General features: G+C 49.1%; 1 protein-coding gene and 1 long non-coding RNA gene across 10 annotated transcripts in view; one reads left to right on the forward strand and one right to left on the reverse strand.

The window, feature by feature from the left end:
• The window catches only part of PHACTR3 (phosphatase and actin regulator 3), a 270,203-nt gene that overhangs the window by 37,184 nt on the left and 207,155 nt on the right, over nt 1-25,864 (forward strand). Inside the window, exon 1 of one of the 9 annotated variants that reach the window (NM_001281507.2) lies at nt 13,958-14,124. The exons of the other annotated variants lie outside the window; for them this stretch is intronic. The gene's annotated coding sequence lies outside the window, so the exon portion shown is untranslated. Of the gene's footprint in view, nt 1-13,957; nt 14,125-25,864 lie in introns of those variants that run through there. 9 annotated transcript variants of the gene reach the window in all.
• PHACTR3-AS1 (PHACTR3 antisense RNA 1) lies at nt 11,772-13,597 on the reverse strand. The gene is made up of 2 exons (NR_040513.1): nt 13,406-13,597; nt 11,772-12,257 (listed from the first exon to the last, which is right to left on the reverse strand). It is a non-coding gene; the product is annotated as a PHACTR3 antisense RNA 1 (long non-coding RNA).

The following is a 25,864-nucleotide window of genomic DNA, read 5'->3' on the forward strand; positions in this document are numbered from 1 at the left end:
AGTTGTATTGTTATGGCATTACTTTTTGGTTCAATTATCTCTTGAAAGTTTGTATCCATATATAGAAAAAATTGTTGCCTTATTGTAATCACTAGCTCTGGAGTTTCAATGAAGTCAGGAAGATATGCCAAAAATGATCTTTCTGCTTCCCTTTGGCAGGAAGGCATTGTCTTAGGCAGCGTTACTCCTGGGGTGACTCTGCGTTTCTTGAGTCACGTGAGTCAAATGGTTGCTGACTTTGGCACGTTTATTGGCCGGGTTTTTTGTGCAAAGCTTCTGAGATCTGATGACCTCCACGGTGTCAGGACTGTCTTGTCACCTGTTTTTCGGGGATCTGCCTGGCCCCTACCCCACATTCTTTATTTTCCTGTTATTCTCTATATACAACCAGAGATACAGGTTTTCCATCAAGAGGGGGCCTATAGAAGTGTTCTTTCCAATCAAGCTTATTTACATAAAAAAGAACATGACTTGAAAATAGTAATAATGTAGTGGTGGTAATACACAGAAATATGCGAAGAAACCATGAAGGTAGTGCTTGGAAGACACAGGCATGCCAAAAACCACAAAGCTGGTGTACAGGTTTCAGTGAAATGGGGAAATGCTGTTATAAATTTTCATCTTGGTCTTGTGGCCCGGCCATGATTACTTACCTATTTGCTGACGCATTAAGCACTACAGTGTGCATGGAGCATGGTGTGAGGGTATGCAAAGGGGCATCGTGCATCCGGGAAGCTCATGGTCTGGCTAGGGGCATAACATTTTGACAAGTAAAATGACAGGGCACATATGTAATAAGTGCCAGGCCTCTCAAACTTGTCCCCTTCTGTGCTGTATCCCATTCATTCTCTGCCAGGTATCACAGGCTTCTGCAAAAGCATTCTCCAGACCTCCGTGGCCCTACAGCATTGAGCTTTCAGTCCTTGGGTTTCTGAAGGTTGGCAGGGTCGAAGGTCCAGGCTGGCTCTTCTCCGTGCATCTCTTATCCTTCTTGGACCTGCAGTCTAAACCAGCCATGTTAGTCTTGTGTAGTGGTGAAGATACATGGGACCTCTTAGGGCCTAGGCTGGAAACCTTCACTTATGCTGATTCTGTTAGCCTATTGGCCAACTTCAGGTCAAAGAGAGGGAAATACACTTGACCCCTTTGGTTGGGGGAGCAGGAAAGTCATATGTAGATACAGGAGAGGTGGAGAATTGGGGCCAGTCTTGTAATCCACACATTAGGCTTATTTCCCTATGTAGTCTGTGGGCTCCTGGAGTCAGAATCACCTTGGAATCTCCTGCCACCTCTGATAAGGTGATGCCTTGACATTGGATGCCAACAGACAAGGTCTGTGGGGTGCTTGCAGATGTGTGGTCTCTGGTGTCAGACTGCCTGGGTTCACTGTGTGGCTTTGGAAGATCTACCTAACATCTCTGATCCACAGTTTTCCCATCTGCAGAATGAGGATTACTTTACTTATATTAATACCCCCTTAGACGAGCAGTTATGATGCTGAGATGAGATGAATTCTGTAAAGCGTTTAGCACAGTTCCTGGGACACAGGAAGATCCTGGTCACCATGAGCTAGCATTCGCCTCCTCCTATCACTGTGGAGAAGTTTTCACCAAAGGCCATGTCTTGGTGGATAAGAGCAGGAGGTTCTGATCTGGTGCAGTTTTGAGGCTCCCAGATGCCCTTGTCTTCCTTTGGGCCTCAAGATGCAGGAGGGAGGGCTTTCCTGGTCTGAGCTGCTGGGTGAAATCAGGCATCCCTCTAGAACTTCCTCCCTTCACCCTGTACTGCCCTGGAGCTGGTTCAGGAGACTGCTGGCATGCACCGGGAAGCTCCGCTCAAGGCGTTGCCCCCTGATTTCCTAGTGGGGGAGCTGGCTTGAGGCAGTCAGAATACTGAGTTGGGTAAAAGACCCAGGGTCAGAGGCTGAGTCTCATTCCAGCTGGGACGTGAGGCTGTGGCTGCGCTGAGCTGACCACCAGCCCCTGGGTTCCTTAGGGTTGCCTCTGGGCTCAGGAAGGAAACTGCATGTAGACACTGAGCTAAGGGAGCACTAGCTGTTTGCTTTGGTTAGTTCTTTCCCCTAATCCTTGCAAGTAGCTGGTTCTGCTTTGATGTGAAATAACAAAAGATTTAGGGAGAATTTATAATTTAGCTCATTTTTTTTTAATGGGAAGGGTGAGTTTTGGAGCACATTTAATACCATGCCATGTGGGGTAAGCTCAGAGCGTTGCCTGCACTCTCATTCACCTGGGCTGGCTTTCCCCGCTCGCTTCCCCGTTGGGAGTCTAATACAGCCTGCCTTTTCCTTAAGATCATTACTTCAAACAGTGTTGACATTTTAATGTGATTATTTTCCTGTAATATTTTTCCAGCCCTTTTCTACTTGGGGAGTATATTTGCATCCTTTTTCTTTAGGGATTTGTGTTGTTCCAGCTCCATCCTGGTCTGTAGAATAGAGCTATGCTCATAGTAGGTGCATGGTAAATATTGATTGACTCTTGGGTACGTGATAGTGACGTCTAGCACCCCTCCTCATACCTATTCCCATGTTCCCATAAAAAAATTAAAATCGAGGGAGAAAAACCCAAAAAAAACAACAATAAACAAAGAGTTCCATGATGGCTTCAGGTTAAATAGTCTCACCCTGTTGGAAATTCCTGGAGCAAATGAGCAAGCCAGTGGGCAGGAGCCCGAGTGTGAGTTCTCAGGAATATACATCACTGAAAGTGAGCCCACACATTTGTTAATGATTGGTCTCTGTGTGGTGTTAAAAAATTAACTAATAACAATTTATTCCAGAGGATATTAGTGTAGAGCAGCTATTTTCTTATAGGAAAAGAGGGATTCCAGTCATTTTTTTTTTTCTGTTTTGTTGAACTGATGTTTGCATCTTGCCTGGTGAAATCTTTAGCAAGGAGGAGGTGGAAGTTGTTCACTTTAGCACCCAGGGGCTCAGCTAACATTTCGTGGGGCTGACATTCTGGGTGCCTGTGCTAGGTGTGGAAGGAGAATTAAGCGGCTTCTGTCCACAATTGAGAGTCTGAGTAGAAAAAAGAGGCATAGCTCACGGCACGTGTCATTTCTCCCTTCGTCCCTCCTTCCATCCCTCCCTCTGTCCTTCTTCTTTCTCCTTCCCTTCCAGCAAATTTAGTGCCTATGATAATGTCAGGGGTGAGGCTGGGCTTGGGGAATAGCGCAGCAAACCGACCTGTTGCCTCATCCTCGTGGTAGATCGTCTGGTGAGTGATGGGCTTGGATCACATCAGCTCATAGGCGAATGCCCCATCCAGCTGTGGGGAGGCTGCCCTGGAGCCCTGCGGGCTTGTGGAGGGGTTGGCATATCTGGGGATCTGAGGGAAGGGTCCAGGGGAGGGCACTTGAGTTAGAGCCAAAAGGTGGCTTCGAATTAACTAGCCCAGCAGGAAAGGGAAAGGTATGCTAGGCCGAGAGATTGGCAGTGCAAAGGCCAGGTGGTGGGGGCAGCTTCGGCTGGAGCCAGAGGCAAGAGAGAAGCAGGAGTATGGCGGGATGGGGCTGCAGGGGAGCTGGGAGCCAGACGGTTGGGGCCTCCTGGACTGGGGAGGAGCTTGTCTGCCATGAGGGAACCATGGGATGTCTGAAGAGAGGGATGTGAGTGTGTGTGTGCGTGAGTGTGTGTGACAGAGACCAAGAGACAGTGTGATCGGGCACATTTCCAAGCCGTCACTCTGGCTGGCCACCCCGGGTGGAAATGGGTCCCAGGAAGGCAGCAGAGTGAGACCAGGGAAGAGGGTGTGGCAGCCACAGATGGTGGGGCCTGGGCTGGGGTTTGCAGAGCTCATTCAGAAAAGGGGCTGGGACTACATTGCCCGGAGGAAGATCTGTGCAGGAGAGGAGGCTCAATCTCAGCTTGGAAGGGAAGGGCAGGAGAGGGAAGGGAAGGGTATGTGCCATGAGGCACCTACGTGGTGTCTGGGCACCCCATGGTGCAGCCAAAGGCTCCTCCCAGGATCCTCATGCAGGAGCCCTGAAGGCTGTGCAAGAGGTGCTGTCTCACCCTGAGCAGGGCCGAGAGCCTGAGAGGTGCTGTCTCACCCTGAGCAGGGCCGAGAGCCTGAGAGGTGCTGTCTCACCCTGAGCAGGGCCGAGAGCCTGAGAGGTGCTGTCTCACCCTGAGCAGGGCTGAGAGCCTGGAACTGTTTAGAGAGAGTCTGGGGCAGTGCAGGATACTCGGAGAGATTGCCTGGGGTGCCCTAGGATGGACTGTGTTTTCTTCTTTATACATGAGAAGCTGGAAAATGGGAGTTGGACGTGGATTCCGTGGGCAAAGGTTCTTTTCCTGGCACAGTGGAGCAGGGATGCTGGCAGGGGTGGATGCTCACTACCTCCTGTGTGCTTTTCCTACTGTGAGCAAATGTGGAAGGGAGAATTGCTATATGAAGACCCTCCATGACCCATATCCTGTATAGCCCCCTCCCCTGAGTGTGGCAGGAACCAGTGACTGTGACAGGTTTCGCCTGCATGCCTAGGCTATCTTATATGCACAGGAGACTTTAAGAAAGTATAAGCCTTGGTGGCCCTGCCCTAATCAGGGAAGCCCTAAAGGGGACAAAATTCTTCCTGGAGATTGAGACTGGAAGCACAGGATGGAAGCGGGGGATGCTGGTTTGAAGATGGAGGGGACTATGTGGAAGGGAATGTGAGTGACCTCTAGGAGCTGAGAGTGGCCCCTGCTGATGGTCAACAGAGAGATAGGGATCTTAGTGCCATAGCTGCAGGGATCTGACTCTTGCTAACACCCTGAGTGAGCACGGAAGTAGAGTTTCCCCTTGAGGGAAGATGAGAAGGCACCCCACTGCTACACTGATTTCAGCCTTTCGGACCCCGAGCAGATGAGAAGGCACCTGGGCTGACACACCGATTTCAGCCTTTGAGACCCCAAGCAGAGGACCCAGTCCTGCCATGTCCTGACTTCTGACTTACGGAACTAGGAGCTAATAAGTGGGTGTTATTTGAAGCCAGTAAGCTTATGGTTTTGTGTTATGCAGCAATAGAAAACTAATACGGGGAGGGAAGTTTATTGCTTCCATATTACAGGGGAAAGCCTCAGGTTCAGAGAGGTGAAGGGATCGTCCTGGTCACCTGGCTACCCTGGCGGAGCTGAGAAGCAAAGCTGTGTGGCCAGACTCTGATGCTCCTGCTGTGTGCTGCCTCGGTTTCCTGATCTGCGAAATGGGCTGGTCATGGCATTGTCCTGAGGCCGCAGGAGGAGTGGCCTGGAGGCTGTGCCAGCTGTGAAAGTGTCAGGGCCCTTGTGACTGTTTTCACCCTCCCTGTTGGCACACAGGACCTGGAGGGGTGCCCCTCCGAGGCCCTCCCTGGCTTCTCACACTCACCCTAAACCCGGTGTGTTTCCATGGTTACTGGTGGCTTTACTAGTGTGACTCTCAAGCTGGCCCCATAGCCACTCCTTTTTATGTGTATTTCTAATTTCCTTTAGAGCATTTTTAAACTTTTCGCTTTGAAATATTTTAGACATCTAAAAATGTCACAAAATAGTAAAAAAATAACTCCTGCGTACCTTTCACCTATATTCCCCAAATAACATCCCACTTAACTACAGTAAGTCATCAAAAAGAAGAAATTAGCTTTGGTACAATACAATTAACTCATCTACCAACCTTATCTGAATTGAGTCCATTTTTCTGCTAACATGCTTTTCTATCCTGTGATCCACCCAGGATCCCACGTGGCACGCGGCCAGCATGTCTCCTTAGCGTCCGCCAATGTGGAACAGTTCCTTAGTGTCTTCATAGCCTGATGCCTTTGAAGAGTGCTTTCAGTTATTTTGTAGACTGTCCCTAAATGAGGGGTTGTCTGATGTTTCCTTCTTTTTAAATCGAGTATATGCGTTTTTGGCACAAATCCCCCATAAGCGATGTCGCTGGAGATCCCTAGGTCAGTTGGACCAATCCTGGTGATGTTGACTGTGGTTGCTCAGCCAGGTGCCTCTGCTCTAAAGTTAACACTTTCTTCCTCTTTGTAATTCGTCAGCGTTTTGTGGGAAACCTTGAGACTGTCAGACATCGTTTCTCATCACACCCTTTCCCACCCTGGGAATCCTCGCCTGCCAGTTGTCACCATGGTGCGTGTTCAGGGGTGGCTGTCTTTCCGTCATTTCTCTTAAATGTATTAGTGAGTTCCATTACTCACTAATAAGGGAAAGCTTCCCCCACGCTCCCATGTATTTATTCACCTGTTTACTTACACTAGTGTGGACGCCTGCATGTATGTTTATCCTGTGGAGTAGAGTCCACTGCTGTCATCTTCTTGTTGCTGGAACTGTCCCAGACGTGGCCACTGGGAGCTCCTTCGAGTCGGTGTCTGTGCCAGTGGAGTGCTCCCATCATTGTCTGAGCTCTTTCTTGCTTTCTGGCAGCATAAGACGCTCCAGGCCCCCAGGGCCTCGCCTCTGCTGAGGTGCTTGCTGTGCAGGATTTGGGAAGGTGCTCTCAGGGGCTGTGGGCTCCCATGCCTGCTTCCGCCTCATCCTTGCAGACCCCTGTGCAGGTAGGTTATTTGTAGGTGAGCACCCCAGTGCACATAGACTGATGTAGCCGGGTTCCCCAGGGAGCAGGTGGCAGAGTTGGGGCTTGCCCAGACTCCTGCTCTTGCCCTGTGGAAGGACCTATGAGTCGGACCCCACACAGGGATTAGGTGGGGCCATGCTGGGCAGCCCATGTCAGCCTGGCACATCTTGGGGACTGTCCACAGTGTCAGGGCTGGGAGCATGGTCTTGGCACATGTAACATGCCCCGTTTCTCTCTTTCTTCTGGGGTTCAGGCATATTTCTGGTCCATGATAAGATCTTTGCCTCCTTCCTGTCTTTCTTGCCCTCGTGGATGGCCCAGAATCCTTTGTAGATTTCCCACAGTGGCCTTTCCCAGGCAGGCACTGGCTGGCAGTGGCAGTCTAGACTTCCTGCCTGCCTCAGTGGCCTTCCCTGAAGGAGCTGTACAAAAGTGACAGGGAGCACAGGCCACTGGCCCCTGGGGAGGTGTGGGGCATGGTGAGCCACGTCCACCACATACTGTGTGCCAAGCTGGAAAAGAGTTTGGGGGTGCAGAGGACAAAGGAAGGGAGGTCACCTCTACAGAATCACATGGCACTTAATTTGTCTTTCCTCTTCCCTACCCACTCCCCTCCTTTCTTCCCAGAGACAAGAGGCAGCTCCTGGGAGAAGGCACAGCCTCTGAGACTCACAAGCAGATCTTTTAAGGTCAACTTTGCCATCTGTCTTTTAGGCAATAACCTTCACTACAGCTTTTTCTGCTTATTTTTGTCGAAAGTCATTGGGAGAATGAGTCATTGCGTGTGTATGCCTGTGTGTTTGTGCATATATATATGTGTGTGTATGTGCATGTACAAGTATGTGTTTGTGTGTGCAGGTGTGCACGTGTGGGTACTTCCCCTGATTTTTTTTTTTTTGTGACATAACTTCCCCTCATTTTTTTGAAAGGCTGAAAGGGACTCAGGGTCAAGGCCATGGTGCATCCCTCCTGCAGGGAGCTGGAGCTGGGTGCCTGGAAGCTGGCCTTTGGGTCAGGCTTCAGCCTCAGCCGTACTGACTGTGCCTGGCCAACCTCTGTCAGTCCCTTCATCAGGCCATGCTTTAAGGTCCTCCTCTATAAACTGGGGGCAATGCTAGTTCCTACTCCTGGGGTGGGTATGAGTTCCAGATGAGGCACGTGACCTTTGCAGGATTTTAACATTACAGTGACATAACTGTAATTTACCTACTGGTAAATGCTCTGTTCATGTCAGTTAGTAGAATAGAAAGTGCTGGCCCTGCTGACACAGCAGCCATCTCCTGGTTTGCGATGGACACTATCTCAGGAGGAGGCTGCCGTGTGCCTGCTGCGAGGGGTGCTCCCTGTTTGCTAGGGAGGCCCAGAGACTGCCCCGGCACCTCGCTGCACACAGAGAGGCCGTGTGTGTCTCTTGACCCTTCAGCTCCACACTGGGAATGAGGGAGACCAGGGGTTAGAGATGCCTCGGGACCTGAGCCGGGCACCAGCTCCCATCTGTCCATCTGTCCTGGGCTGCTGGGGGAGCCGGCTCTGGCCAGGACTGATGATTCCTGGCACCCACCAGGAGATGCACATCCTGCTTGAAAGCTGTGAACTGCTATCCAGAGTGTCTGGGCTTATCCTGTTGGAGCAAAACCCCTGGGCTAATATGTAATCCCATTGTGAAATGTATTTCAAGGAGGGCTTCTACAAGGATTCTAATTTTACAGCAGCTTTAACCAAAAAAAAAAAAAAAAAAAACCCAAATCTTCAGCAAACACTCAGAACCATGGTTCCTGTATGATGTATAGCTTTCAAAAACACTCCCCCACCCCTTGGAAATATAGGCAGGGAAGGGAAAATAAATGTTTTTTTGTGGGAGGCAGGAGCATTATTGAAAAAAACTCAACAGGCTTTTTAAAACTGGAAAAGTAGAACGCGCGCATGTTGAAAAATTCCAGGGCGGCTGGAGACAGGATGGGGTGGGGCAGGTATGTCGGCTCCGCATGGATCAGGCTTGGTCCAGCCCGTGTTATGACCTTCCAGCTGTCTGCTTCTCCTCTTTGGCCTCAGTTTCCTCATCTATAAAATGGGAACTATAGTATTGTACGCACCATGCAGCTGTTGTGGGGGTTAAATGATATGATCTGTCACATTCCTGTTACATGTATGTATTCAACAAACATCGACTGTCTTTTTCATTAGTGAAAACCAGGTCTCTCTGGCTGTGCACCCGTCTCTCGTCCCACGACAGCTGCTGATGGCTTTCTTGTGTACGCTCTCAGGAAATTTCTATGCATTCTTTTCTTCTTCGTTTGTTTGTAATATGAAGGGAAACACGCTAGCCCCTGTTCTGTGCCTGGCTTTTCCCTCTTAAAACTGCATCTGTGGGATGTAGATATGAAGTTTGAAGGATACGTGGGAATGGACCAGATGAAGGTGGGGTGGGGATGGTGACCACTGTCCCTGGCAGAGGAACAGCGGATGTGGTGGCCATGTGGTGGGAGGGGCACCGTGTGAGCATGGGCTGAACGGCTGGTGCGTGGGGATGGGGAGGTGGCTTGGGCCTGCCACGCGGGACAGGGAAGACCAGGTTGAGGGTTTTTGTCTGTATCCTATGGAGTGATGGAGACCTGCTGACACTTATGGAGCAGAGGGTGACCCACTGATCTGGGACTCGGAAAGGTCACCCCACTTCTGCTTTGGTGCCCATGGGCGTTGTGTAGAGAAGGTGTCCTGTTTTGGTTTCCCAAGAGAGGAAATGGACCTGCTGGCAGGAGAAGTGGGGGAGAGTGGTTGGGAGCTGCTGGTGTGTCGCCTCTCGATTTGGAGGGTGGGGACATAAGAGTGGGAAATGGCTGGGGCAGTGTCTCTAGAGGGTGGCTTTCTTCGATGTGAGCCTGGAAGTTGGTGAAAATTGCCCCTCTTTTGGTGCTCTCATGGGTGTTTGGATATTTTGATCCCCAGGTCATCTTTCAAGCCAAGTACAGCATGCACCAACCCCTCCGTGGCTGCATCCTACAGCCCCTGATCCACTGGTGGACTGCTCCACACCTGCTCCCTGTTGGGGTCTCTGTCCTCCTGGGTGATCTTCTAGAGCAGGAGTCTCAAGCTTTAGGGTATATGAGACTCGCCGGGGGTCTTGTCTATGCAGCATGCTGGGTCCCTTCCCAGAGCTCCTGACTTGACGCATCTGCCATGAAGCCAGTATGAACATGCATTTTTAGCAAGATCTCAGGTGCCGCTGATGCTGCTGATCTGAGGACACCCTGCTCTGGAGACTAGAAACATCTCTGGCCTGGTCTCCCTCCCATGCTGCTCCTGTGTAGCCTGCAGGAGACACCTCCTGGCAGCCGGGTGTGCAGGCTGGTCCAGCGCAGCCACCTCAGTCCCTACCGGAGTGGTCTCTGGCAACTCGGGTACCATTCTCTGGGCCTACCCAAGGAACATATTACAGGGGCTGGAGCTGACCTGCTGGAGCCCCCTAACTCAGTCTGATGGAAAGAAGACTTAAAAAAAAACTTGTGATGTTAATTTAAATTTTACAGAAAAATTGTGAAGCTAGTACAAAGACTTTATGTAAACCTGCACCCTGGTTCCCTTTCACTCTTATAGTAGATTTGTATCACTAATGAACCACTCTTGAAACATTATTATTAACTCAAGTTCATACTTTATTCCAACATCCTTAGTATTTTTCTAATGCCCTTTTTCCATCCCAGGATGCCATCCAGATCCCGCATGACATCTGGACATCATGTACCTTCAGGCTGTCTTGCTGTGACGCCTTTTCTGACTTTGCTTGTTCTTAGTGACCTTAGCAGTTTTGAGGAGCACCTGTAGGGTGTTCTGTAGAATGTCCTTCAATCCAGAACTTCTTTTTAAATTCCTCTTCTGCTTGCGGGGCATCTTGAGTCATGGAAATAGATTCTCATTTGTTTTCTTTGTAAATTCTGCCTAGAGCCAGGGTCTGCAGAGATCTCTCTGGAATCTGATAGCTAGAGGCCTCAGTTGACCCTGAGGCAGGCCCCATTCCTGTTAGAGAAGGTGCGTGGAACTGGTGTGGTTGGGAGGAGTGGTTGAGAATGGTCTCTGTGGGCACGGGGTTTGCCCGGCAGGCAGCTGCCCAGTACGGCTGCCTGTGTGGCTGATGTCATGTTCTCATCCCATCTGATGCACTCTCCGCAAGTCACTTTCAGAAACTGGAAGATCCCACTTAATTCTGCTCTGGAATATATTTAGAAATCTATTCATGGCCCTCTCCCAAAGCTGATGTTAAAATTAAGAGATATCATTTGTAGGATGTCATGGCTGTGCAGGAGGAACATGCTGATGTCTCCCTGGCCGCCTTTGGTTTCTTCTCTTGCTTAGGGATTTGCCCAACTCCCATTGCCCATCTGAGCCCAGCTTTCCCCCTCTGAGCCCAGTTTTCCTCCTCTCACCCCAATGTCAGAGTGGGCACATCCTCCCTGCGGAGGCATGCAGGCTTTTCCTCTGCATGCACCGTCTCTGTCTTGCGTGACAGCCCGGGGCTGTTTCTCACCCTTGTTACGCTGGGGTTCTTGGCTGAGAGCTCCTGGGCAGGGGCTGACTTTGAGATGAGGCTTCTCTGTTCGTTTCTGGCTGGTTCTAGATCTGGGTGGCATTTGGAGGGTGCACCGCTTGTATCTGTGACCGAATACCTCAGGGTTTGTGGTGAGGGACGTGGAGATTTCTGTGCTGCAAGAGATCTTAGTGCTTCTATTGTGCTGGGGAGAGGCCAGCCCATCTTGGGGTACCAGGGCTGGACCAAACTTTAGAGGGGGTCTGACCCAGGTGTTCAGAGCCAGAAATATTATTTGCAATCCTCTGCAGGGAATTTAAAAATGAAACCATTCTGAACTCTCCCTCCAGAATTCATGGTCGTCAGCCATTCAACAAATATTTACTGGACACCTGTTTTAAGCCTGTCACCGTTTTTTGAGTATGCATATAGCTATATATGGCAGGTTGCAGTGACGACTCATGTCTCTGCCTTCATGGAATGAGTAGTCTCGTGGGATGAGGGGAAACAGACAGCATAGAAATAGATGTATGATGGGACTCTAGGTGGTTATAGATGCCTGGAGTGATGATAAAGTGAGGCTGGAGGAATGAGACTGGCAGGGAGGAGAGCCCAACTGTCTGTGATAGATGGTCAGAGAGGACCTCAGAGCAGGGCATCTGTGCAGAGACCAGGCAAAGTGAGGGAGCTGGTCATGTGACTACCCTCGAGAAGAGCACTAGGGCAGCAGGAACAGCAGGTGCAATGGCCCTGCAGCAGGCATGTGCTTGGGTGTGGTAGGAACAAGGAGACCAGTGAGGCTGAGTGAGTGATGGAAAGGGGCAAGTTTTTGATGCCCACAATGCCAAGAGGTGGCCAGGGGAGGATCCCAGGGAGGTGCCGAGGCCTGGGGGAAGACTTGGGCTTTATTTTCAGAGCTGCCCGTTGAAGATTTGAATGGCTGCAGAGTGAGATGAGATTGTGCTGGAGGATTCGAAGGTCATTTAGTCAGAGATGCTGGTGGTTTGGAGCAGGTTGTTCACAGCAGATGTTCTTTGTGCCTGCATCACAATTCCTTGGACCAGCTCTGCCTTGGTCTTCAGCTGTGGCTTCAATCAACCAGCATGTTGGGTGATGAGCGCTGTATTGGAGCAGGTGGCTACACTTTCAGGAATGCTGCAAGCTGGCTGCAGTGGGAAGTATTTACACCATGGCAATTGGCAAATGTACATATCAGCTCCCTTATACCACCCAAACACTTTCCAGCACAGCACAGCCATGAGCCCAGTGCTGTGGATATTCTCCCAAGCATCAAAGTGCAGCCAGGACATGAGGGGAGCTAATGTCTGAAGGACAATCCTCAGCTGACGAAATGGGAGTAAACATCCCAGGCATGCATCCTTTAGGTGGGTGCTTCTTGGAGCTTTCAGAGAATGCAACCTTGCTGCCTACAGCTGTGACCCTGGAAATGCACGTGTGTGGGTTTGCCCTTCCTCCCTCCCTCACTCTCATTGCTCCCTTGCTTCTGCTTCCTGAGATACCTCCCAAATAAGCTACCTTCACCTAAGCCCGCCTGCAGCTCTGCTTTTAGGAGAATCCAATTAAGATGGTGGTAGAGCTAGATGTGGTGTGAGAGGGATCAGATGGCTGGGATGAGACAGAAGAGTCCTGGATGACTCCAAGCGTTCCAGCCTGAGCAGCTGGAAGGATGGAGAGGTTCTGGCGGCAATGGGGAGGAACCATTGAGATGAGCAGGATGGGGGTTGGGCAAATCAATGCTCTGTTCAGCTGTGGACAGGTTCTGTTTGAGAGACCTATCAGATCCCCAGGTGGAAATTGTACCTGGAGTTAGGGAGAGGTGTGTGGTTGGATAGAGATATCTGGGACTGGACAACACTGATTAGGTCAGGTGCCCACCTGCATCTGTGATTCAGTTGTGCCCTCCTGCTTAGGAAGCGTCTGTGTATCTATGTATGTATCTATCATCCATCTATTTATCATTTATCTCTCTTTTTTATTTATCTCTCAATATATCTATCATCTATAAATATATGTATATTCTAGCATCTAGTCATCAATCATTTATCTATTTTTATTTATGTATCAATATATCTATAATCTATTTTTCAATATATCTATAATCTGTCATCCATCTGCTAATCGATCATCTACCATTATCTATCAATCTGTGTATCTATCGTCTCTCTCTCTGTCCATCCATCCATCCATCTATCCAGGCAGTGCTTGCTTCCTTCTGCCCCCTCCTTAGCCCATCCCTGCCCAGGAAAATTCTCGTCCCTGCTCAAATGCCTTCAGTGACAGGAAACTCACCAACCTCTTAAGGCTTCGGCATGGAAGTTTCCAACTCATGTGGCCACTCCAGAATGCTGTCCTCCAGGGACTGTGTTTCTCTCTCATGTCCTCCTCCCAAGATTTATTTACACTCCTCACTTGCCAGGAGAGAGTACTTGGGAGCTCCGAGCCATGCGTGTTCCCTGGCAGGGTCGCCTGTGTGCTGGGGAAGAATGGGCCCAGTCATGGGGTGGAGACGCCCCCCAGCTGCAGCCCTGGCTCCCGAGCAGAGGCGGCTTTGTGCTTCTCGGGGACAAGGGTTGCCATTGAGGCAGGCCAGGGATGCTGTGCAAGCTAGCGATGGCTGCAGGCTGAAATCGGGCATTTCACAGAGAGCAAGCACTGCACTGTCCCCGCAGCCTGCACGTGAATGGAGGCTTTGGCCCTCGGAGTGCAGCCGTGCATGGGGCCACGTGCAGGCATTTCTGGCTCCTGGCTCCCAGGGAGAGAGGCGAGCCCTGTTCTCTCCCCGAGTTCTGTTTGACAAAATTCACAAAAACACAAAGAAACAAAAAGTACGGGAGAGGATCAGTTCATTCTCCTGACTCCTGGTTGGTCTCAAGACCTCCCCTGTTGCCTGTGCTCTGGAAGATTCCCCATAGTACCTACTAGGTGGGCCAGAGAAGGATGGATTTGTGGGACCCTGGAAGGCTGGGAAGAGGACTGAGAAGCCACAGCCCTGCGCTGGGAAGAGCCACGGAGGTTAGATCTTGTTTTTTGTTTGTTTTTAATACAATTGTTCACACTTTCTAAACTTTTTTGAAATAATTTTAGACTCACGTGGGGGTTGCAGAGCTTCCCTCAATGACAGCATCCACCTTTCCATGGTTCACTGGTTGGCACCAGGAGGTGGACATTGGTACAGTGAGGTTAACTAAACCAACTAAACCAGAGGCCTTAGCGAATTCCACCAGGTTTTGCAAGCACTTTTGCTGTTTTTTCAGTGAATAATTGAATGAAATTTTATCACACCTATAGCTTCACGACAACCAGGTGAGACTTGACTTTTAAATAATGAGGCGCCAGGCCCCTTGGCTCCTGAAGTGGCATGGGCGACGTGTGTGGATGCTGACTGGATGCCCACCTGCTTCCTTTTCTCTACGTTGTGCCCCCACCATGCTCCAGTGGCAGGGGCAGCCTCCTCCTGGCCCCCAGGCCTCTGCTTCTCTGGTGCCTGTGGAGGCTCAAGCCTTTACCCCACCTCCCTTCTTCCCAGGAAGGCCCTGGCTGCCTGAGAAGGCCCAGCCTTCCCCTTCTCCCTCCGCTGTTCTGGCTGAGCTCATCTCCTGTGGCTGCCCTAGCATGTGCTGCAGACTGGGGGATTCCACAGCAGAAACCTACTCTCTCGCAGTGCTGGAGGCTGGAGGTCTGAGATCAAGGTGCCAGCAGGGCGGGTTCCTTCTGAGGGCTGTGAGGGCAGGACCCGTCCCAGGACTCTCTCTGTGGCTGTGAGTGGCCGCCTTCTCCCTGGTTCTCTTCACATGATCATCCTGCCCTTCCAGGGTATGAGCTCCATGCCTGTCCCCAGAAGATCTGGAGGCTTCCATCTTCTGCTCCTTATCAGACAATGGAGCGGAATAAACACGGTTGCCTCTCTGGAATTGGAGCTTAGTGCTCATGAAATAAAATTCTCTTAATCTCACAATTGTCCTCAATACAGTTGCAGTGGGTGGCACCGAATGAGTGTCGTGCTTGTCAAGACAGCCACTGTGGCCTTCCGTCTTCCCACTGACTGATGGCAAGTCACTAGAAGGAAGCACCCAACTCCCCGTGATGGCATTAAATGACACCCGTGGGTGTGGCTGTAGACCAGGGGTTCTAGGCAGCCAAGGGGGTTCCATGCAGCCAAAGGAAAGAAGAAACTTTCCTGCAGAATGCATGAATATAGGGCCAGGTCCTAAAGCCCAGCCCACGGGCAAGTGTGTCCTGGTGGTTGCCACTTTCCAGTCAACTGATTAGTGTCAATCATGACACTGATTTCCTGGCAATGTGTGAGATGATTTTAGGTGGTAAATGAACTATTAATTTTATAAAGAACGTTCATATCAGGTATATGTCTGTTTAATTTTTCTTTTTTCTTTTTTTTGAGATGGAGTCTCACTCTGTCCCCCAGGCTGGAGTGCAGTGGTATGGTCTTGGCTCACTGCAACCTCTGCCTCCCAGGTTCAAGTGATTCTCCTGCCTCAGCCTCCCGAGTAGCTGGGATTACAGGTGCCCACCACCACACCTGGCTAATTTTTATATTTTTAGTAGAGACAGGGTTTCACCCTGTTGGCTAGGCTGGTCTTAAACTCCTAACCTCAGGTGATCCGCCCGCCTAGGCCTCCCAAAGTGCTGGGATTACAGGCTTGAGCCACCGTTCCCAGCCTGTTTAATTTTTCATTAGAAAAATATTGCATTTCCATTAAAGTAGACGTCAAGTTTTCATTTTAAACTTTCTTAAGAAAACATTATATTCATTTTAGACCAAGTGGTTCTATTAGAGCAACATCCATAAGAGTGGTGACGTGTGAGTGAAGTTGGGGAGACACCGGGTGGTGCAGTTACCCAGCACCATCTAGAGGAAGTACCACTGGGGTGGGCGGTTACCTGGCACCATCTAGAGGAAGTGCCACTGGGTGGGGGTCCCTTCACAGAGGCAGGGTCCAGTCCCGGCCACCCTCAAGGAGCTTGTACTGTCGAAGTGGGGAGGGGGACATGAGAAATGTTGACTCAGGGGCAGAGGGTTCTTAGGCTTATCAAGGAAGCTCTAGGATTCTCGGTGTTCTAGGGGATTCGAGGAGGAAAGTTACACCTGATGGGTAGACAGGGGTGGTTGGAGGGATTTGGTAAAACGTTCATGAAGAAGGGGTGGGTCTGTGGGGTTTCTGGAGTTGAAGTGACCACCACCAGGGATGCTGGCATGTGGAGCTAGCTTCATGGCTGTTAGCTGTCATTGTGGAATGGAAGTTAAAGTGTGCGTTGAGCAGGGCTGAAAGAGGCATAGACCTCCCATACTGGGAGAGAAGCCATGCTCAGGGAAGAATGCCCAGAGGCTAAAAGTCAGGGTCAGATGCCCATCTTAGGGGCCCTTGGTTGCCATAATTATCAAGGCAAGGTCCTTGGATAAAGTCTGGTCCGGTGCCTCTGAAACTTCTATGTGCATACATGTCACTGGGAGTCTGGTTAAAATGTGGATTCTGACGCTTGGGTAGGGCCTGAAACTCTGCATTTTTAATGAGCTCCTGGGGGATGCTGCTCCTCAGATGCCCCGCTCTTCTGTCCCCTAGCCCCCAGCAACAGCAAACACTTAGTGCCTGCCTTTCTGCAGGGACAGGGGAGGGAGGTTTGTTTGCAGTGACAGTTTTTGGGTAGCTATGGAGGGAGGAGAGAGGTAGGACTTTGTCTTGGTCCAGTTTACAGGGGCCTTGACAGAGGCAGGAGGGGTGGGCAGGAGTTGCCAACTTTTATATTTTGGTCAACTAGGGATGTTTAAAAACAACAATGAAGAAAAACCCGAACATCCTTGGTTTCACAACAGTATAATAATAACACTATTAACACCAGTATTTCCCAAAAGAAATGGAATTTCAAATCCAAAGAGTCAGGAAGGCCATATACTCCAACAGAAGACAGTCTTTTCAAGGACACAGAGCCAGCCCCCAAAACACCTCACTGCATTGTCCTCATTTTTCAAAGGACTTGGGAAACATCACCCCAGGCTGGCATGGATGACTGGGCTGAGGCTTGGGGGCTGCGGCTGTATGAACGGGAATGCCTGTGGTCCTCAGAGCTGAGGTCTGTGTTCCCAGAAGCCCCTGTAGAGTGGCATCTGGCCCCGGCCTGTGGTAGCCTCTGTCCTTTCCCAGGAGAGAGGTTGCCAGGGCCTGAGCAAACACTGACCTGGAGTGTCCCTGCTTCTGAACCTGCCTCCCTATCGTCCTCACCTTGTGGTGTACGGGACGTGTGGGGACTGTATCATCTGGGCTGTGGCTGGCGGCCTCTCGTCTAATGCTACCACATGCCCTTCATAGGCCATGATGAGCCATGGCAGTGCTGACTGTGTTCTACCACTGCTCCAGGTTCCTGAGATGCTCACATCCTGGGATGTGCTGGGGTTGAGCACCAAAGCTAGGGGAGGTCCTAGTAGCCCACTCCTGTTCCTCAGTCCCCTTGCGTCTGGCTGGGAAAAGGTGCACCTCCTCCGTCTCTGTCCACGTGGAATTGACCATCATCCTGCACAGTCTCTGCCCCTGGTAATTGGTTCTCAGATGGGCTCATGACTCAGGCTTCACGAATGAGAATCTGTTCTAGGACTTCAGTTGAAGCGCTTGGAAAGAGTTGTTTTCCCTCCACAAGAAGTCACAGAGCTGGTCGGCTGTGGGCTTGGAGTGCTGGTGGCCATTTTCCCCAACCCAGCTGGAGCCTGAGAATGGAACTAGCCCAAAGGAAAGCTGAGCAAAGACAATTTTGAAGGTTGATTTCCCGATGGCATTATTTGCATCCCTGGATCCAGCGTGTGTGAAGCTGGCGCACCCCCGGGCTTCTCAGTTAAACACTTCCTCCCTTTCAGGCTTCAGCAGCTTTGATTGGGCTTCTGCCATTTCTGATTATTACAGGGACTTAGAGGAAGGAAATGGCTTTGCCCAGATCACAGGGCTCATGAAAGTGCCCAGGCTGGAATGCAAATGCCCACCTACTTCCCCTCACATCACTCTCCCTCACCTGCTTTAAGTGCATGCCCAGTCCCAGGGAGATCTTCCCATCACTCTTTGGGGATTCTGCCTCACTGAAAGCTCTTGAAGCTGCTTCAAAGTGGAGTATCATGGTGTTTCCCGGGAGGGTGGTTGCCGGGTGCTGAGAAAGACTGGCCTGCAGTGCTCTTGCTTTTGCACTTCCGTCCCCCACCTTGATCCTGGGGTGCACGGGGGCAGGAAGGAGAGGAGTGTGGGAGTTGATGGGGAGATGAGAGGAGACATCTACCCATGGCCTCTGCTTCTGGGAGGACCTGTCACACTCCCAGTGACACAGCGTGTGCTAGAGATTAGGCTTTTCTCGTGAAAGTAGGGTTTTGAAATATAAATCATTCTATAAAGACATATGCATACGTGTGTTTATTGCAGCACTATTAACAATAGCAAAGACATGGAAACAACCCAAATGCCCATCAATGATAGATTGGATAAAGAAAACGTGGTACATATACACCATGGAATACTATGCAGCCATAAAAAGGAATGAGATCATGTCCTTTGTGGGGACACGGATGAAGGTGGAAGCCATCATCCTCAGCAAACTAACACAGGAACAGAAAACCAAATACCACATGCTCTCACTTATAAGTGGGAGTTGAACATTGAGAACACATGGTCACAGAGAGGGGAACAACCCACACCAGGGCCTGTTGAGTGGTGGGGGTGAGGGGAGGGATCTTAGAGGACAGGTCAATAGGTGCAGCAAGCCACCATGGCACATGTATACCTATGTAACAAACCTGCACGTTCTGCATATGTATCCCGCTTTTCTTTTGTTTTTGTTTTTAGAAGAAATAAAAGAAAATAGAAGCTCACTTGCCTGGATACTTTAATATTGCCTGGGTTTTTGTGTTGTGGAGGGCTCTGTAAGTCATGGAAAAGGTATTCTCAGGAGCTGCTAATGACATATTTAATTTTAATAATGAGTCACCCATGCCCACAATTTATTACCTCCTGTGGCTCTGGACTCTGGTTCTTTGAGTGGTATAATAGGGCGGAGGTTAATGGATAACACAATTAATTATTTAGGAGGTTCTTACAAAGCCAAAGACTTTGTAACAGATTAACTAATAGGTTCCTAACTTCATTATCATTTTGATTTTTCCAAAGAATATTTTCTCCCAAACCACTCAACTGTATAACATTACTGGGAAATGTCTAATTTTTACACGATTCCTCTGCTCAGTTTAAATACTAATGTTCTGCTTACTCCGTCACTGTTCAGCGCCCAGCTTTCGGTCTTCACCTTATTGCCTGGGAGATAGATATAATGGATTCAGATGTTATGAGCCCTGGAAGGGTTTGTAACATAAGGCAGTATTTTAATGCTTTAGGGGCTGGAAATATTTAAGGCAATATTTTAATTCTCATGAGGGACGAAGTGTTGTGGTTGCAAGTGCAGCCTCTGAAATCAGGCGGAGCTGGGTGTGAATCCCAGCCTCTGCACTTAGGTTGGTTACATCACCTCTCCAACTCCGTTCCCTCCTTCATAAAATGGGCACACTAGTAGTATTAACCTGGTTGCATTGCAGTGAAGATTCAATGAGAAAATGCAGGTAAAACACTTAATGTGGTGTCCAGCACAGAGTAACAGGTTAGGAGTGTTGGCCGTGAACGGTGGTGATGGTCATCTAATCACAGCATGGAATGAGGAGGAGCAAGCCCTCACCCTGGCCTGCTGCTCCTTTGTTGATGAAATGCCTGTGGTTGTTTTCACACCGCAGCAACAGAATTGAGCATTTTCCCAGAAAAATTTCCCGGTCTAAACTGTTTACTCTCTGGCCCTTCATAGAAAAAGAATCGCTGCTCCCTGCCCTCAAGGCAGCCTCCTGTGCTTTTATCTTCTCGGGTCTCCTTTCAGAGGCCTCATTATAGGTGAGCGCCATCCAGCAGAACGTCCTGTGATGATGGAAATGGTCTAGGTCTGCGCCATGCCGCCCGGGATTGCGCCGCTGGCCGCAGATGGTTGCTGAACACTCGAAATGTGGCTCATGCAACCTCAGAATGGAATTTTTAAATTTTACTTAGCTGTAATTGATTTAAATTTAAATAGCCACCTGTGGCTAATGGCAACCACATCGGGCAGTGCAGTGACACCACACCGGCTCAGAGTAGAGAACCAGTCACCTCCATTCTAGCATCCTTTCTGAGAGTGCCGGGTGGAGGGTGCTGGCTTTGGCTGAAATAAAGGAAAGGGAGAAGGCTGCTCCTTGCATTTTCTTTTTCTGTTCTTTTTTCTTTCTTTCTTTCTCTCTCTTTCTTTCTTTCTTTCTTTCTTTCTTTCTTTCTTTCTTTCTTTCTTTTTCTTTCTTTCTTTCTTTCCTTTCTTTCTTTCTTTCTTTCTTTCTCTTTCTTTCTTTCCTTCCTTCCTTCCTTCTTTCTTTCTTTCTTTTTTTTTTTTTTTGAGATAGAGTTTTGCTCTTGTTGCCCAGGCTGGAGTGCAATGGCGCAATCTCGGCTCACTGCAACCTCCACCTCCCAGGTACAAGCAATTCTTTTGTCTCAGCATCCCAATAGTTGGGATTACGGGCGTGCACCACCACACTCGGCTAATTTTTTTGTATTTATTAGAGACGGGGTTTCACCATGTTAGTCAGGCTGGTCGTGAACTCCTGACCTCAGGTGATCCATCTGCCTCAGCCTCCCAAAGTGCTGGGATTACAGGCATGTGCCATCGTGCCCGGCCTGCTCCTTGCTTTTTATTATGTTTTTGCTGATTCAAAGCATCTGTAAATATAAAAATTGAACTTACTCTTTTGTGTGAACTATTTGGTAAACATTCACAAGCATGAAGAAGGAAGTTAAGATGTCTTAATCCCATGCTGTAGAGATAAAGGATTTTGGGCAGTACATTTGCTGTCACTTTCAAATATTTGTATGGCGCGTAAGAGGGGAGTCATAATGTCTGCATGGGGTGTGCCCCCACTTTTCTGCTGGGACAGGGACTACACAAAGCTTCATATTATCCTGATTAATGGCTGCAGGGTGCTCGGTGTGCAGTGGCCTCTCTGGGCAGGTCTCCGGGCTGCACACAGTTGGGGACTGTTTTAAGCTGCTCAGTGATGAGTGTCCTTGCTGTGAAGTATTTCTGTGTTTTTCATGTTTGTCCAGAGTGGCCACGAGGTCCTCCTAAGAGACTTTGATCAATGTATGTTTCTACAGAAAATGTTAGAAGCTGCTGCTCCTTCACATTAGCTAATGCTGGATCTTGCCCATCTTTCTTCCTTGTGCCAATCTGCTGGCGAAAAATTGCTTGTCTATATTTTCATCACTTTTATGTATTTATTTTTTTAAAAAAGACATGTTCCCAGAAGTCACTGCTTGGAAATATCTCTGGTCATTTCTCTTGCTTCTTTTAGTTTCTGGGTGAGGCCAGTGGTTATAAGCCAGTTCCTGAGTCTTTGGACAGTTTAATGGGGGCATGGATCAGGTCGCAGATAGCAGACTTTGATAGCACTTTGATTCAATGAGGGCCTACTATGAGCTTTGCAGGTTTTATCTCATTCAATATTCATAACCACCTGAGGAGCTGGGTGCTATTTATCCCCATTTTACAGGTGAAGAAACTGAGAACTCTCTCAAGTCCTGGTGGATGAGGGACATAGTCTGGATTTGAACAGAGCATGTGGCCACCTGAGCTCACACTCCTGGTCAGCACACCATGGGAGGCATGGGGAGGGGAAGGGGTGTGGGAGATGGCCAGGAAGACCTGGTCTGGATCGGGGCTCTGCTTACTGGCTGTGAGGCTCTGGACAAAGTTATGTGACCTCTCAGAGCCTAAATTTCCCCAGCTCTCAAATGGATATCAGGATATTTACCTTGAGGTTGTTGTAAATAGAAATGGAGATGTGTATGAAGGCCCTGGCATAATTCCTATACTTCACTGATGCTTGATAAATGATGGCTGTTTTCTGTACTATTAGCAATGATTATTAATACAGTGATGAAAAATACAGAGCAAAGATGATAAACAGAAAGTGTCTAGAAGATAGTTGCTACCTGAGAGTTAGCTATTGTTTATTCTGTTAATGTGTTACAGTGTAGGTATTTCTACATTCAGTAACATCATAAGCAAAGAAGACTTTGCTTGCCAAGGGCCCTATTGAAAGCCCTCGATGGGTACAGGCTGTTATCTCACCAACACAGACTCTGATCCAAGGTGACCAGGAGAATTTTAGAATGATCTAGGCAAGGAAATTGCCGTGCTTCCAAAGCAACCTGCTCCTCAGGCTCCCTGTGGGGCTGTCTGCCCCAGCTTGCCACACCTCTGCAGGTTTGTGGCTTTGTTTCCTGTATGGGGTCTGAAGGTGAGCAGTACCTTTGTTTCCTGTATGGGGTCTGTTCTGTGTTCAGAAGCAGGACTCAGGGCTGCTGGAGCTGGAGCTGGAGCCTCTGAGTCCTCAGGGTTCTCCACAGCTCTCCTGACCAGCTCTGCTAGAGCGATGTCTCTGGCAGATGCCTTTTCCCTGTTGCCCTGTGGTCTGGCCTTTCTGCTGTAGGTTAAAGAAATCACAGTGTGGGCAGGTGGCCTAGTCTGTAAGTGTGTCCTCTAGTGACCTTTGTTTTACCTCTAGCCATGCTTGCTGTTTGTCCTTTCTTGGGATTACATAGTTGGCCAGGCCAAAACATCTTAGCTCACATGAAATCCAAGTTCACAGCTGGTAAAAATGCCACAGATTAAATGCTCCATAGAAATTCATGTCTATAATGGATGCATTTCTCCTGGGAATTCACTCCTTAAATAGGATGACCTTGTCATTGACTCCTGTCCCTACCCTCAACCCTAACGTGAACAAATATGAAATGATCCTTAACCAACCAACATGCTAGAATAAAGACACAAAGCATTAAAAAAAAAAAAAAAACCAACAAACAATGAGGAGGGAGGAGTAATTCTTTTGGCAAAACTTGATTCCCTATTGTGGTTGATGTGGCTGCATTCTTTTTGCTCGTTGAGAAGTTGCTAGAAGACAGGGTCAGTGGTGGTTCTATGAGGGTGGCTACCATTTTTCTTGAGGGACTGCTTTTATCTGCCAAGCACATAGTTCTTTACATACTTTATCTTCCTGAAGCCTCATGAGAGCTCTAAGAGATTCCCATTATTATTATCCCCATTTTGAGCATGAGGAAACTAAAGCTCAGGGAAGTATGGGAATAGAAAACTACATGGCCAGGGTCTGAATCCAGGCTGTTTTGCTGCTGGCCCCAAGGTCTTAGCCCCAGTGCATACTATTAAATGCTGCCTGAGTTCCTTGACACCTGCACCACTACCCCTCCTTCCACCAACCAGGTGGGGTTCACTGGTATAAGCTGTCTTAGCATGTTGAAAGTGCTCTTGTAGTACTTAGAAACACTGTCATTTAACTGCTATTTAGGTTCTTAGTAGTTGTAGCTATGTTAGATGGATGGGCCAAGCCATAGCCTTGTGAGGACAGGGACAGTATCCAGTTTGTTATCCATCCCTTATCTATGCCTTATACACAGTAGAGTCTCCATAAGTGCTGGGTGGATGGATGGGTGGGTTGGTGGTGGATGGATGGATGGATGGATGGGCAGGTGGGTGGGTGGATGAATGGATGATGGATGATGGCTAAGTAGATATATGAGTGGATAGGTAGATGGGTGGATGGATGGATGGATGGATGGATAGATTGATTGGTAGATGGGTGGATGGATTGATGGATGATTGCTAGGTAGATATATGAGTGGATAGGTGGGTGGGTGGGTGCGTGAGTGGATGGATGGATGGAGATTGATAGATGGATAGGTGGATGGATTGGAGAATGGGTGGATGGGTGGGTGAATGGATTGACGGATGATGGCTAGGTAGATATACCAGTGGATAGGTGGGTGGAGGGATGGGTGGGTGGATGGATGGATGGATAAATGGGGATGGATAGATGGATGGATGGATGGGTAGATGGACGGATGGATAAATGGAGATGGATAGATGGATGGATGGACGAATGGATGGGTAGATGGATGGATGGGTTGATGATGGCTAGGTAGATATATGAGTGGATAGGTGGGTGGGTGGGTGAGTGGATGGGTGGATGGATGGAGATTGATAGATGGATAGGAGGATGGATTGGAGAATGGGTGGATGGGTGGGTGAATGGATTGATGGATGACGGCTAGGTAGACATACCAGTGGATAGGTGGGTGGGTGGATGGGTGGGGTGGATGGACAGATGGATAAATGGAGATGGATAGATGGATGGATGGATGGATGGATGGATGGATGGATGGATGGGTAGACGGATGTATGGGTTGATGATGGCTAGGTAGATATATGAGTGGGTAGGTGGGTGGGTGGGTCTGTGGATGGATGGATGAGTGGGTAGAAATCCAGGCAGCTGGAAGGACAGTGGTGGAAGGACAGGTATTTGGAAGGACAGTCATTTGAAGAGGAAACAAAGACATAGTATTTGAGGGGGGAATTATCTGCACAGCCCCCAATTTGCTGACATTAGCTCCTGGAGAAAGGAGCACCTGCAGGATGAGCATTTCCCACCTGTCTGTTCTTTTCTCTTGGCCAAGAGGACCTCACAGCAATGCTCTGGTTACAGTCAGGGGAAGGCTGTACTGACCACACAAAGTTCCAAGAGGGGACAAGCATGGTGTGACCTCCAGCCAACTTGACTCTCTCATCTTCTCCCCACGTTCCTACCTTGGACCTCTTCTGGGCTGGCCGATTGAAAGAGAATATTCATAAAGCTGACTTTGAGGAGTGTTTTGGGAGGCAGGCACAAAGATTATTGGTATTGAGTCCCAGTTCTATAACTTACTAGCTGTGTGGCTTTGGGCAAGTTAATCCCTCTCTCTGAGCTTCAGTTCCCATCCTGATGCCAACCTTGGGTACTGCTGAGGGAGGAGGGGAGAAGGGGGATGGATGCACATGAATGGAAGGCAGTAGCAGTTGTTAATTCCCCTTATCTGACTTTCCATTTTACTACCTTCATTTCTTTTCTCTTAGACTCTTGGAAGAGATGTACTGTGCTGGGATATAAATTTTTGAAACCTGTTCTCTTTCCTCTTCCATGTTCTCCGTGATAATGCAGGAAAAAAACTCGCAAACCTGGCCATGATGCCCCTAGGCCGACAGAGGCTTTCCTAGTTCCAATTCTGGCATTGTAAGAGAGAGCTCTATGGAATAGCAAAAAACAGGCACACTTCATCCTGTGCATGCTGGGGTTGAGGCTGTGAGGTGTGCAACAGGACAGTAGAGCATAGCAGATGGGTTGATGAGCTGTGATCTGGATTCAGACCTACTTGTCTCAGACCCTGGGTCAGCCCGTCAGCAGCTGAGCAATATTGGGAAAGATTCTTAACCTTGGATGGTTGGTAGGATCAAGTACAGTCAGTGTAGAAATGCTTAGCTCACCACATGGACTCAGGACATGTCAACTCTCCCTGCTTTGGCTATAATTACTATCCTACTGTCAAGGAACTTTCTCTCTAGTTGGGCTAGGTCATGTGCGCAGAAGGGTTGGAGGACAAGGTGTTGAAGAAAGATTTCTCCAAAGATCCTGGTTGGATGTGAGCTGGATAGAGCAAGGCTGGAGAGTGCAGATGCCCCTGGGGCCAGGCGGTCTTCAACCAGTCTTGGTGAGAAATAGTAGCTCGACTCAGCTTTGGGGTGCAGAGACACTGGGGAGGGGCGGGGACTGTAGCAACCTAAAGTGCTCCTGCCCTGCCTGCAGAGGATG

This window comes from Homo sapiens, chromosome 20 (genome assembly GCF_000001405.40).
Source record: "Homo sapiens chromosome 20, GRCh38.p14 Primary Assembly".
NCBI lineage: Eukaryota > Metazoa > Chordata > Mammalia > Primates > Hominidae > Homo > Homo sapiens.